At 47.8% G+C, this 13,242-nt stretch overlaps 1 protein-coding gene across 6 annotated transcripts in view, besides 3 other annotated features; it reads left to right on the forward strand.

Annotated features, from left to right (window-relative positions):
• Nucleotides 431-1,370: an enhancer, noted in NCBI's record as "H3K27ac-H3K4me1 hESC enhancer chr3:58222930-58223869 (GRCh37/hg19 assembly coordinates)". NCBI's record gives its function as "activates a minimal SCP1, AML or CMV promoter by ChIP-STARR-seq in naive H9 embryonic stem cells {active_cell/tissue: H9 hESC(naive)}" and the evidence as "EXISTENCE:reporter gene assay evidence [ECO:0000049][PMID:30033119]".
• Nucleotides 592-761: a silencer, noted in NCBI's record as "silent region_14486". NCBI's record gives its function as "represses an Ori minimal core promoter by ATAC-STARR-seq in GM12878 lymphoblastoid cells {active_cell/tissue: GM12878}" and the evidence as "EXISTENCE:reporter gene assay evidence [ECO:0000049][PMID:35858748]".
• Nucleotides 772-1,261: a silencer, noted in NCBI's record as "silent region_14487". NCBI's record gives its function as "represses an Ori minimal core promoter by ATAC-STARR-seq in GM12878 lymphoblastoid cells {active_cell/tissue: GM12878}" and the evidence as "EXISTENCE:reporter gene assay evidence [ECO:0000049][PMID:35858748]".
• Nucleotides 1,020-13,242, forward strand: part of ABHD6 (abhydrolase domain containing 6, acylglycerol lipase) — a 56,943-nt gene continuing 44,720 nt past the window's right edge. For 2 of the 6 annotated variants that reach the window (XM_005265334.5, NM_001320126.2), the window contains exons 1-2: nt 1,020-1,144; nt 13,106-13,170. The gene's annotated coding sequence lies outside the window, so the exon portion shown is untranslated. Of the gene's footprint in view, nt 1,145-12,985; nt 13,171-13,242 lie in introns of those variants that run through there. The other 4 variants (XM_005265335.4, NM_020676.7, XM_047448629.1 and 1 more) reach the window with 2 other exon arrangements.

Below are 13,242 nucleotides of genomic sequence, written 5' to 3' on the forward strand. Positions count from 1 at the left end.
CTGAGACATGGAAAACACGGAAGAGTAGCCAGGCCAAGCTGGGGTTTAACTGTCCCTAAAAGAAAGAAACGACCATAGCAGGGGTTTAACCAGAGGTGGCCGAAGGCCTTTCCAGGTGCCCATTTCTCCCGTATAGCTTTGGAGTCAGACGATCCTCGGTTGGAATTCCCAGTTCAGTCCTTACAGTCTGACGTCCCGCACAACCCGACGCCGGCAACTGTCTCCAAACACCCGAGAGCCAGGGCGGGAGCATGAGCGCCTACGGTGTTCCTTGGGGTGGAGCCCTCGCAGTGTCCAGAGGATTTGGGGGCTCCTGCGCCCCCATTTCTCCCATTTCCTGGACTATCCAGGGCAAGCCCCTCACCTCCCTGAGCCTCGGTGTCTTCTGAGAAAAGAAGTCGACCCCAGTGCCTACCTCATAGGATTACGTGAGACAACCGATGTCAAGCAGTGTTGCTTTGCTGCCTGAGAACCCCTGCCTGTCCCTTTCTCTCTGATGCCCTTCGGGGCAGAGATCCAGAGATCCTGCCTGAGTCACTTTGGCGGGTTTAATGCCCAGCCGCGCCAGGCACACAGTAGGTGCTCAGTAAGTGAAACAGTGCCGGGAAGAATTCGGGCCGGGGATGTGGAACTGTGTGTGGCTCTGCGGGCTCAGAGGCCCTCCCCGCGCCCCGCCACCGTGTGCGTTCCGGGGCGGGGCGGGGCGGGGGCGGGGGCGGGGGCGGGGGCGGGACCGGGCGCTCGGGCTCCGCCCCCGGTACCTCTGTAGGCGATCCTGCTCTCGCCGTGGCTTTCGGGTGCTAGGAGACAGTTGCCGGCGTTGGGTTGTGCGAGACGCTAACTGTACCCTCCGGGTTTAACGCTGTGAGGCAGCGCGCGGAGGAACTGGGGATAAGCGCCCCGGAGCCCCCAAACAGAGCGCGGCCGCTGGGGGACAGCGCGCGGCGCCGGGTCGGGGCGGGGCGGCTTTTCTGTCGGAGGACGCGAACCGGCACGCTGCGCCTTTAAGGAGTCCAGCTGGGCTGGGCGCCGGAGCTGGGAGCGGCGCGGGTAGGAGCCCGGCGGCAGGTCCCAGCCCGGGGCTAGAGACCGAGGGCCGGGGTCCGGGCCCGGCGGCGGGACCCAGGCGGTTGAGGCTGGTCAGGTGAGCGGAGGCGGGCGGGCGGGCGGTGGTGCGCTCCTAGGGGGATGGGGCGCCCTGATGGCCCCGTGACCTCTCCCCCAGTGTCTCCCTGCAGCGGCGCATCGAGTGGAAAGAGTCGGCGATCTGCACTTGCCTTTCCACTCCGCTCCCCGCGCGGGCGCTGCCCCCACCTCCCGCTGCCTGGATAGGTTTGAGATGCCCGAAACCCGGCGCCCCATTTCCTGGGTCCAGCCAGCCTCTTGAAGCCGGGGGACAGAGTGAGGACGGGTCGGGACCTGCACCCTCTTTCTACTTCGCCTCCCCACCCCCTGCGCCCGCAGCAGCCCTTAGGCGCCCCTCGCAGTGCCGAGAGGATTTTGGGGTCCTGCAGCCCTGTTTCCCCCATTTCCTGGAGAAGGACTGCAGCTCGCCCACCCAGATAGCATCTTGCTCCGTGTCACGCGCCGCCTCCGCGCCGTCCCCAAGATCTCGCTCCGCTACTCCCCTCCCCCAGCAGCCTTTCAGCTTCCCTTTCCCCAGCCTGCCCCGGCTCCCGTGCCCTTGCGCCCCTTCCGTGTCGAAACACTTGAATCAGGATGCTGTCCAGCCAGGTACCCGCCGGCAACTTGCGGTCCCCCGCCTACAGCGACACAGGTTTCACGGCTGCCTTAGAAATGCGGATTGTGTAACGCCGGCTGCAGGGCAGTGCACGTGCAGGGTTTGCGCCCCTGAGCCCACAGCGAGGCCAGGTGACAGAGTGAGGCATGGGGGAGTGGGGGAAGAGGAGGATGCCAGAGGGTCTAGATACTGTGCATGCAGAGAATATGTATTTTGAGCCCTTTGTATGCCCCAGGAGCTGGGTGGTTAGGAAGAGGAAATAAAGTGGGGGTCTTACTCCAGCTGGGACCTGGAGGCCCTCATTTATCTCGCCGCCCCCCTCCCCGCTGCTCCCGCCTGCTCAGAAATCCCTAGTGGCTCCACCTGGCTAAGAGTTTAAAGTAGTTTATAATGAATAATAGCTGACATAGAATAAGCAAATCTTGTGTGCCAGGCCCTGTCCTAAGCCCCTTAAAAGAATTACCTGCCATACTTTCCCCAACAGCCCCTTGAGGTAGGTACCACCGCTGTGCCCATTCCTGAGAGCAGGAATATGAGGCTTCCAGAGGTGGTACCTTCCCAAGACACGAAGTGAGTCTGGCCTCAGAACCACCCCCTTCCCCCAACCGCCCCCCCAACCCGACCTCGAACCACTAGACTTTTTACCCAATTTCAACAAATTCTTATCAAGAACATTGTTATAATATAGGAAATTAGAAATAACAGAAATTAATCACCTGTGTTTCTAGCACTAATTTGTTTTTCTCAGACCAGCAAGGGCCTCTCAGCTTCTGGTAATAGTACCCACTTTAAAGGGTAGTGGCAATATTTAGATAAAATAATGCACAGGGCCCAGCATGTTTTAAGCACTCAGAAAGCAGCAGCTGTTATTATGAAGAGTGGTAGTTGACCACTACCTTGAATTACTGGAAAAAAATAATTAATAAATGGCTCACACTGACTCTACAGAAATTAACCATTTTGTGTGCTCAGAAAGGCCTATGAGACTTTCTCTATTTTCATCTTTTTATTATTTTTATTATTTTGCCTTTTCGACACATTCTGTGGCTTTCGTCAACTCCAAATTATCCATTGTCTTTGTAGTTAGAGACAGAAGTGCCCTTCTGGTTTTTTTAGCTTTTAAAATGTGTGACCTTTGATTCTGTGAGCATCTGCAAACCTAGAGTAAAAGATGGGAATGCAGTTTGTGCAACTGGGAAGTAATTCTGAAACTTGATATGAGAAAAAAATTGTCCTTAGAGGTGATCCTGGTTTGCAGTATGCGTTGGGTGAGGTCTATCCTGGGGGCGAGAAGTTAGACTCAAAGATTATCTTTGGGTTTGGAGGGAAGAAAGGCAAGCATGAATGTTTTGTCTCGGTGTGGTGGGCTCACACCTCAAAGTGGCCAGCACTTTGAGAGGCCAAGGCAAGAGGATCACCTGAACCCAGGAGTTCAAGACTAGCCTGGGCAACATGGTGAAACCCCATCTCTACCAAAAAAAAAAAAAAATTAGCTGGGAGTGGTGTTGCGTACCTGTAGTCCCGGCTACTTGGGAGGCTGGGGTGGGAGGATTGCTTGAGCCTGGGAGGTCAAGGCTGCAGTGAGCTGAGATTGCTCCACTGCACTCCAGCCTAGGTGAAAAAGTAAGACCCAGTCTCAAAAAATAAAATAAATAAATAAAGAATGAGTGTTTATCCTAGTAGGCTAGCTAAGATTGGAAATCAGCTTCACTATGTCATATTCTTTAAAAAAATTTTTTTTTTTAGAGATGAAGTCTCACTGTGTTTCCTACTCAGGCTGACCTGGAACTCTTGGGCTCAAGTGATTCTCCCACCTCAGCCTCCCAAGTAGCTAGAACTACAGGTGTGCACCACCACACCTGGCATGCTATGTCATACTTTTTATGAAACTCCTGGTTATTTTGGTGATTAGATCAATTATTACCGTGATGAGTGTTCAAAAGAAAAGAGGCAAGACATCCCCATCAAAGCTAAATATTTGGAAGATGCCAGGAAGCTAGTTCTGCAAGTTGAAAAAAAATTCTTTAAAAATTTCTCCTATTTGAGTCTTAAAAAAATTTTTTTTTTAAGGGACAGGGTCTCACTCTGTTACCCATGCTGGAGTGCAGTGGAGCAATCTTAGCTCACTGTAACTTTGAACTCCTGGGCTCAAGCAATCCTGCTACCTCAGCCTCCTAAGTAACTGGGGCTACAGGTGTGCACCACCAAACCTGGGTAATTTTTTTTTTTTTTTTTGAGACGGAGTCTTGCTCTGTCGCCCAGGCTGGAGTGCAGTAGCGCGATCTCGGCTCACCGCAACCTCCGCCTCCCGGGTTCAAGCAATTCTCCTGCCTCAGCCTCCAGAGTAGCTGGGATTACAGGCATGCACAAGCACGCCTGGCTAATTTTGTATTTTTAGTAGAGACGGGGTTTCTCCATGTTGGTCAGGCTGGTCTCGAACTCCCGACCTCAGGTGATCTGCCCGCCTCTACCTCCCAAAGTGCTGGGATTGCAGATGTGAGCCACCGCGCCCGGCCAAACCTGGATAATTTTGAAATTTTGTTGTTGTTGTTGGTTGTCACAACTTGTAGGTAACATCAAGTGGGTAGAGGCCAGGGATGCTGCTAAACGTCCTACGATGCACAGGACGGTGCCACAACAAAGAATTATATGGCCTCCAGTGTCACTTGTGCCACAGTTGAGAAACTGAAACTGGATATGATTTTCACAACATTAAAGTCCTTTCTGACCTTGCATGTAGTTGCCTCTTCCAAGAAGATCAAAGTATTCTCCTAAACCGGACCCTCAGAAACCCTCTGGATCCTATTTGACGCTTCCCAATCCTAGAGGCCACTTGGGGTGTTGCTGCCTGTGGCTGGATGGGTTTGGGGTCTGTCATGAGCTTCTGTGCGGCTCTCTGGTGCTGTACCAAGGAAACTGCTGATTCAGGGGAGCAGGACAGCACTCAGGAGGTGTGGGCAGAGGTTCTTACACTGCTGCAGGTTGGGATCCTCTTCTTTTTAAGTAATATATTAACAGCAGCCTTTGCTCTTAGGCATTTTTCCAGAAGCTGTGGCTGTTTGGCTGTTGGCATTGGGTGTTTGCCTTGTGATATACCCAGAAAAGGATTCATACGTTACATATGATGAAGTCTGGGGATGGGACTGGATTCTGAGAGTATAAAGATGGCAATGCAGACCCTGCCCAGAGACTACTCAGGCATCTCAATAGGCCTGAGCAGTGGCCATGCAGGGTGGTGGAGGTATGGCAGGGCTGCCTAACTCTGCCTGTGAAGTCAGGCAAGATCCCAGCAGTGCAGAGTGAATGCTTAGTATCTGCCTGTCACTGCTTTGAACAGTTTCCTTGCATCATCCCATTTCATCCCCACACTGAGGTAGAATTCTAAGAGGTTAGGTCACTTGCTACAGTCACATGGCAAGCATGTGACCAGAGCAGAGTCACAGTGGTCAATGGCAGAGCAGAGATTTGAACCCAGGTTGTTGAGCTGCAAAACTGAACTGTCAGGAGCATTTACAGAGAGCGGCAGTGCTTTAATAGCTAAGACTTTTAGGATGGGCTGGAGCTCGCCAGGCGAGAGGGAGAATAGGCGTGCCGGGGAGAGAGGAGCAGGTGTGTCAAAGTCCCGGAGGTGTGGGAGAGCACGGCATGTCTGGGGGTTGCAGATCATTATTGGAAGGGATGGAGGGCAGGCAATAGGCAGGTGATAGAAGAAGATGACCCTTGAGAGATGGGCAGCACCAAATCCTAAGTGGCCTTCAACATCATGCTGAGAGCCACTGCCAACCACCAGTGAATTAGCAGAGAGGAAGAGAAAGCTGTGTGACATTGAGCAGCTTGCTTAATTTCTCTAGGACCCAGCTGCCCATCCAAACTAAAACCTCTAAAACTATACTGCTCTGACGAATGTTTCTTTCATTTGTGGCCATATGAGCAGAGTGAAGGAATGCCTGCATTGACACTGGTGGGGCAGCCCTGTTGATTCATGACTTCTCCCCCTAAGGCTGTGTGATGGGTGCAGGGAGTGGTTTCTTCTCAGTCAGCAGTTGGTTTTGTTTCAGCTTTCCAGCTTATCATTTGGCATTGACCAAGTGTCTGCCAAGGGCAAGGCACAGTGTATGCTAAGTACTGTGACAGAGGCAAAGATGTGGTCAGACTTGTTTTTGAGGAGCTTGCAGCCTAGTGGAGGGTCCAGCCAGTGTTCTTTTTATTGTTATTATTATTATTATACTTTAAGTTCTAGGGTACATGTGCACAACGTGCAGGTTTGTTACATATGTATACATGTGCCATGTTGGTTTGCTGCACCCGTTAACTCGTCATTTACGTTAGGTATTTCTCCTAATGCTATCCCTCCCCCATCCCCCTGCCCCACGACAGGCCCCGGTGTGTAATGTTCCCCACCCTGTGTCCAAGTGTTTTCATTGTTCAATTCCCACCTATGAGTGAGACTGTGCGGTGTTTGGTTTTCTGTCCTTGGAATAGTTTGCTCAGAATGATGGTTTCCAGCTTCATCCATGTCCCTACAAAGGACATGAACTCATCCTTTTTTATGGCTGCATAGTATTCCATGGTGTATATGTGCCACATTTTCTTAATCCAGTCTATCATTGATGGACGTTTGGGTTGGTTCCAAGTCTTTGCTATTGTGAATAGTGCTGCAATAAACATATGTGTTCATGTGTCTTTATAGTAGCATTATTTATAATCCTTTGGGTGTATGCCCAGTAATGAGATTGCTGGGTCAAATAGTATTTCTAGTTCTCAATCCTTGAGGAATCACTGCACTGTCTTCCACAATGGTTGAACTAGTTTACAGTCCCGCCCAGCCAGTGTTCTTATCACGAGATACAAATCTCAAGTGTCTTGAGAGAGAAGTGTTCATACCAAATACTGTGGGGCATGGAGGATGAAATAGAGATTACTGGGGGATTGAGGAAAGTCTAAGTGAAGGAGATAACTTCTAGCTCCACCAGAAAGATTTTTTAAAGGAGAACTGGGGGTAGACAGAGGACGTCTTATAGGTAGAGAGTGGAGAAAATAGAGAAAAAAACAGAAAGCCAGTGCAGGTATAGTCATGAGAAAGTCAGATTATTAAGTGTATCTAGTATCTGATTCTCCGCAGTTTCCAGATTGTGGATGGGAAGCAGAAGTTTTCTTTTTTTTTTGAGACAGAGTCTCACTCTGTTGCCCAGGCTGGAGCGCAGTGGCACGAACTTGGCTCACTGCAGCCTCTGCCTCCTGAGTTCAAGGCATTCTTGTGCCTCAGCCTCCTTTGTAGCTGGGACGACAGGTGTGTGCCACCACGCCTGCCTAATTTTTTTGTGTTTTTAGTTAGAGACAGGGTTTCACCATGTTGTCCAGGCTGGTCTCAAACCTCAAGTGATCCACCTGCCTTGGCCTCCCAAAGTGCTGAGATTACAGGTGTGAGCCACTGTGCCTGGCTGGGAAGCAGAAGTTTTCATAACAGGAAAATATTCATTAATGGACTTGCCATGTGCAAAGTTAAGTCCTACTTCATCATCTATCCCTCTGTTTTCAACCCTGGTGGTCAGCCAGGCTCCAGGAGCATCCATATTTTGGCTCTGCGTCTCTGCCTGGTCGTCAGATGTTTTGCAAATATGACATAAACAATGGAAAGTAAAATTGCAACTCTTAAGAGAGGCAATATCTCTTGAAATCAAAGCCAGTGATGTTAAGGAACTGCTTGGATGATGTGTCAAAGCAATAATAGGATCTGGCAATGTGAGATCTGCCAACAATTGATAAAGAGAAGGGATGAACACTCCTTTAGGGGAGAGACTTGAAAATCAAACAATTGAGAGGCCCTTGAGAAATCAGTGAGGCCATAAGATATTTTTGCAAAAATGGCTTCTTTATGATAGCACAGTGATGACCAAATGTTAATTGGAAGGACTTATCATACCGTAAAAGAGTCTACACAAAATGAAGTCTTTGTTCTAAGAATTCGCACAGGGCTGAGCATGGTGGCTCGTGCCTGCCCACCACTTTGGGAGGGCAAAGCAGGAGGATTGCTTGAGGCCAGGGGTTCGAGAACAGCCTGGGTAACATAGAGAGACCCCATCTCTGCAAAAAATGAAAAATTAGCTGGGCGTGGTGGTGCATGCCTGTGGTCCCAGCTGCTCAGGAGGCTGAGGTGGAAGGATCACTTGGGCCCAGGAGGTCGAGGCTGCAGTGCGCCACTACAGTCTAGCCTGGGCAACAGAGCAAGACCCTGTCTCAAATTAAAAAAAAAAGCAAAAAAAAGCACAGAAATGTAATTGTAACCTAAATTTTGCTTGGTATTTACTATTGCTTTTAAAATAGATAGATTCGATTTTTGTTTTATTTAGATAAAGTACTAAACAAAACTGTATTTTACTTTTAACTATGAAATTCTGAGTGTGGCTTTACCATATATCCTTTTTTCTGGTGTTTATCTTCCTGGGCTACTGAGGTCTCTGGGAAGGAGATTCTGGCTAGAAAGAAGATGTGGATCAGTGCACAAGGACCCTGAATGCTAGACTTTGTGCTGGGAGTGAGAAGTCTTGTCCTGCCAAAGCCTGCCAGTGTTTATTAACAGGGCTCATTTTTTTGTTTAACATCAACTTTGTTCCTGCAGTTGGAAAGTACTGTAGACCAACTTCACCTCCTTTTTTTTTGTTTTGTTTTGAGACGGAGTCTCGCTCTGTCACCCAGGCTGGAGTGCAATGGCTCGATCTCAGCTCATTGCAAACTCTGCCTCCCAGGTTCAAGCGATTCTCCTGCCTCAGCCTCCTGAGTAGCTGAGATTACTGAGATGCCTGCCACCATACCTGGCTAATTTTGTATTTTTAGTAGAGACAGGATTTCACCATGTTGGCCAGGCTGGTCTCGAACTCCTGACCTCAGGTAATCCGCCCACCTGGGCCTCCCAAAGTGCTGGGATTACAGCCCTGAGCCACTGCATCTGGCCACTTCACCTCATTTAGAAAGGCAAAACCCCAGGCTGAGCACAGTGGCTCATGCCTGTAATCCCAGCACTTTGGAAGGCCGAGGCAGGCAGATCATTTGAGGCCAGGAGTTCAAGTCCAGCCTGGCCAACATGGCAAAACCCTGTCTCTACTAAAAATACAAAAATTAGCCGGGTATGATGGTGCACACCTGTAGTCCCAGCTACTTGGGGAGACTGAGGCACAAGAATTGCTTGAACCCCAGAGGCAGAGGTTGCAGTGAACTGAGATCGTGCCACTGCACTCTAGCCTGGGCAACAGAGGGAGACCCTGTCTCAAAAAAAAGAAAGAAAGAAGGAAGGAGAGAGAAGAAAGAAAGAAAGAAAAAGAAAGAAAGAACAAAAAAAGAAAGGCAAAACTGTCTTTGATCTCCCTGCTTTTCCTCTTATTTAAAAGTGCAAGTTTGGCCAACAGGAGAATGTTTTGGGTGCTGAGGTTCTATTTTTTCCATCTGCTATATAGCACACCAATAGAGGGCTATTTTAATTCCTTTCAGCCATGTGGCAAATAGTCACTTACATGATGCTCTTTCTAGCACTTCACCTTTGAGGGGTGACCTGGCTGATGACAGTTACATGTACTCATGCTAATTCAGTGAGAAACGTTCAAATCAAAGCCTGTTGTGGGCTCCACTAGAGCCTGAAGACTTTGGGCTCCTTAAACGTAAAGGGTCAAGTGGCTTTTGGCTCCTGTTTTATCCAGCAGGAGACTGGCTTGTATTTCTGTAGGGCTGTCTTGTTTTAAACATGATTTCAAGCAGGCGGTTATTCCAGACTATCACCACAGCCCCCATCCTGACAAAAGAGGCTGATGTTGCCAGGTCAGTGTATGTGTGACATGTTTCATCACCTTGCTTCTTGGCCAGCATGATTTGTTAAAAGCTGTACCACAGGATACACAACCCCCCTGCCTTCCAGCTGAGCCTCGGACTGATCTGCCTGCCTGTCCCTCCTCTGCCTGTCACTTCTCTAGAGAATCAGGTAGCACGGCTTTCTGGTTCTCTCTGATCCTCCACCCACAGGACCAGCCTGGCTGGGCTGAATTCTCTTTCCCACAGTGCTGCCCAGGTGGCCAAAGCAGGGAGGGGACTGTGGGCTGGGCTGGTTCTTTAATGAGAACCCCCATGAGGAACCAGTTGTCAGAGTTTTGGTGCAAAGCAGGAGAGAGTGAACCATCTAATCAGTACCTCTCCCAGAATCACGAAGGAGATAAGAATTTGTGGTTTATGGATGGTCATGTGTTTCCAGGATAGAACAATAAGAACGTTTATCATTTGAAAAATTTAAATTCCTATCTTCTACCTTAGAGTACTGGACTTTGAGTCTTAAGGACTAAAGTTCCTGCCATGCAGGCATAACCTTTGGACAGTCATGTGGGCAGTAGTCCGCCAGTCATTGAATGTTAATAGAGTGGGCTGCTAGGCTGCATAGTGTGGAGATGGAGGGAGTTTCATCCTCCATCCTTCCAGCATTCACATTTGTATTTCTTTCCTCATAATGAAAAACAGTTAATATTTGGTTGCCGTCTCTAATGGGCCTTTTTTTTTTTTTTTGAGACAGAGCCTTACTCTGTCACCCAGGCTGCAGTGCAGTGCACTGCAACCTCCGCCTCCTGGGTTAAAGGGATTCTAGCTAGGACTACAGGCATGCACCACCACGCCTGGCTAATTTTTGTATTTTTAGTAGAGGTGGGGTCTTGCTATGTTGCCCAGGCTTGTCTCTAACTCCTGGGCTCAAAGTGATCCTCCTGCTTCAGCCTCCCAAGGTGCTGGGATTACAGGTGTGAGCCACGGTGCCTGGCCTCTTGAACTAGTGTAGAGTCCGGGACTGGCCAGTAGAACTTTTGTGATAAGGGAAATGTTCTATATTTCTGCTGTCCAATATGATAACCACAAACTAGTGGCTGTTGAGCATTTGACTTGTGGCTAGTGCAGCTGAAGATTCGAATTTTAAATTTTATTTAATTTCAATTTAATTTTAAGCAGCCACATGTGACTAGTGGCTACCATATTGGACAATACAGATGGACTACTTTATTTGAGGAGTTTGTATTGTAGTTATTTTTTGTTTTTTTGTTTTTTGTTTGTTTGTTTTTGAGAGAGTCTCGCTCTGTCACCCAGGCTGGAGTACAATGGCACAGTCTCGGCTCATTGCAACCTCCACCTCGCGGTCAAGCAATCCTTGTGCCTCAGCCTCCTGAGTTGCAGGGACTACAGGCGCACACCACCACGCCTGGCTAATTTTTGTATTTTTAGTGGAGTCAGGGTTTCACCGTGTTGGCCAGGCTGGTCTCGAACTACTGGCCTCAAGTGGTCTGCCCGCCTCGGCTTCCCAAATCCTGGGATTACAGGCGTGAGCCACAGTGCCCAGCCTATATTGTAATTTTTCGTTAAATATGCACATAGTAGCACTTCAAAAGGGACAAAAGGTATCAGTGAAAAGTCTCCCTCTCATCTCTGTCCCCAGCCCTGCAGTTTCCCTTCCCAGTGCTAACCATAATCATGGCCAATTTCTTTTGTGTCCATTCAGAAGGATTTCCCACGTACATAAGCATAACAAATATATTTTCTCTCTCACTCTCTGTTTTTCAGTGTTAGGGTATTACTCTTATCCACTGTCTTCTGTTCCATGCTTTTTTGAGTTAATGTACCTTGGAGGTCATTACCCATAGGGACAAATAGGACTGTCTCATTATTTAAATGGTTTATATTTAATTTCTATTTGTATTTAGTGGCTATATATGTTTCTTTGCAAAGCTGTATCATCATTTACTTAACTATAAGTTCACTATATGTAAGCGTGTAAATTATTTCCAATCTTTTGCCATTATGAATACTATTGTAATACTCTTACGCAAACGTTTTCACACATAATCAGGCATAAACATAGATAAATTCCTAGAAGAAAAGATCATAGCCAGGCATGGTGGCTCACGCCTGTAATCCCAGCACTTTGGAAGGCCGAGGCAGGCTGATCACCTGAGGTTGGGAGTTCGAAGACCAGCCTGACCAACATGGAGAAACCCCGTCTCTACTAAAAATACAAAATTAGCCGGGCATGGTGGCACATGCCTGTAATCCTAGCTACTCGGGAGGCTGAGGCAGGAGAATCGCTTGAACCCGGGAGGCGGAGGTTGCGGTGAGCTGAGATCGCGGCATTGCACTCCAGCCTGGGCAACAAGAGCGAAACTCTATCTCAAAGAAAAAAAAAGAGAGAGATGATCATTAGGTCAAGGATATGTGCATTTTACGTAGCCACAGATTTTGCCAAATTGCAATCTGTAGAGTTTGCTGATGAGAATGCAAATTGGTACATTATATGAGAGCATCTATTTTTCCATAGCCTCAGCAGCACAGTCTGTATTAAACTTCTTGTTCTTTGCCAGTACAATAAAGGAAGATCACCATCACCCTGTAGATTTAATTTGCATATCTCTTATTATAAATGAGATTGAGCATCTTTTTATATGTTTAAGAGTCATTTGTATTTCCCTCCTGGTAAATTATCTGTTCAGATCATTTGCTCATTTTTCTATTAGGTTTTGTTGTTATTGGTCTTGATTTGTAGGAACCCTTTATACATTAAGGAAATTACTATGTTGTCTCTATTATGTATTTACAAATTTTAATCTTATTTATGGTATCTCTTTCCATGTGGAGATTTAAAAACTTTTTTATGCAACTAATACTCTTTGTTATGGCCTCTGGATGTTAGACATTACTTAGAAAGCCCTTTCCTATGGAGATACTTTTAAAATAGAATTCTCATGTTTCCTCCTAGAACTTAGATGGTTTTATTTTTTATATTTAATTCTTTGATTCATCTGAAACAATTCAGGGGTTTTTCTGGTTTCATTTCCTTTGCTCATCTCATTCTCTTGCTGCTGAGCAGTTTGTAGCGCCTCCCTGCTTCTGCCCAACCCAGTTTTGGAGCGGTGCAGCCCCCCTGACAGTACCAGTGCCATCACTCTGGTAACAATATTATCCTCACTTGCCCATTGGTTGCTGCCTTGCTTCCATTCCTTTCTGAACACACTGTTTAGGTAAGCCCTAACCCCGATGGAGGAGAGCTTTAACTATCGTTCCATGCTTGACTACTTACCAGATTTCTTCTTTGACCTCTGTCAATTCTTCCTAGTCCTGGCTCATTATCTGAGACGCCCTGCCCTTTGTGCACGTTTGCCTTATTGCCTCACTGGGGGAGGTGACCTGAACAAGAGGCATAGTATAAAGCCACAAGCTGTTTGTACTTTGCCTGTGCTGAGGAAAAGAGTGCTCCACCTTCACTGAAGCCAGCAATTTGGCCGGCTGTTAGCACTTCATTCATATTCCCTAGTATGAGTTAATTCTTTGTCATTTTATTTCTTGTGATTCCAGAATCTCATTTTCAGCTTCTGCCAGAGCCAGTAGCAGTTGGGAAAGAAGGCTGTGCTCTTTGAAGAGTGAGTATGGATTTTAACCACCATAGATTTCCCCCAAAAGGCAGCCTTTAATTAAACTGGGACTGCTGTTGT

Source organism: Homo sapiens, chromosome 3 (assembly GCF_000001405.40).
Source record: "Homo sapiens chromosome 3, GRCh38.p14 Primary Assembly".
NCBI lineage: Eukaryota > Metazoa > Chordata > Mammalia > Primates > Hominidae > Homo > Homo sapiens.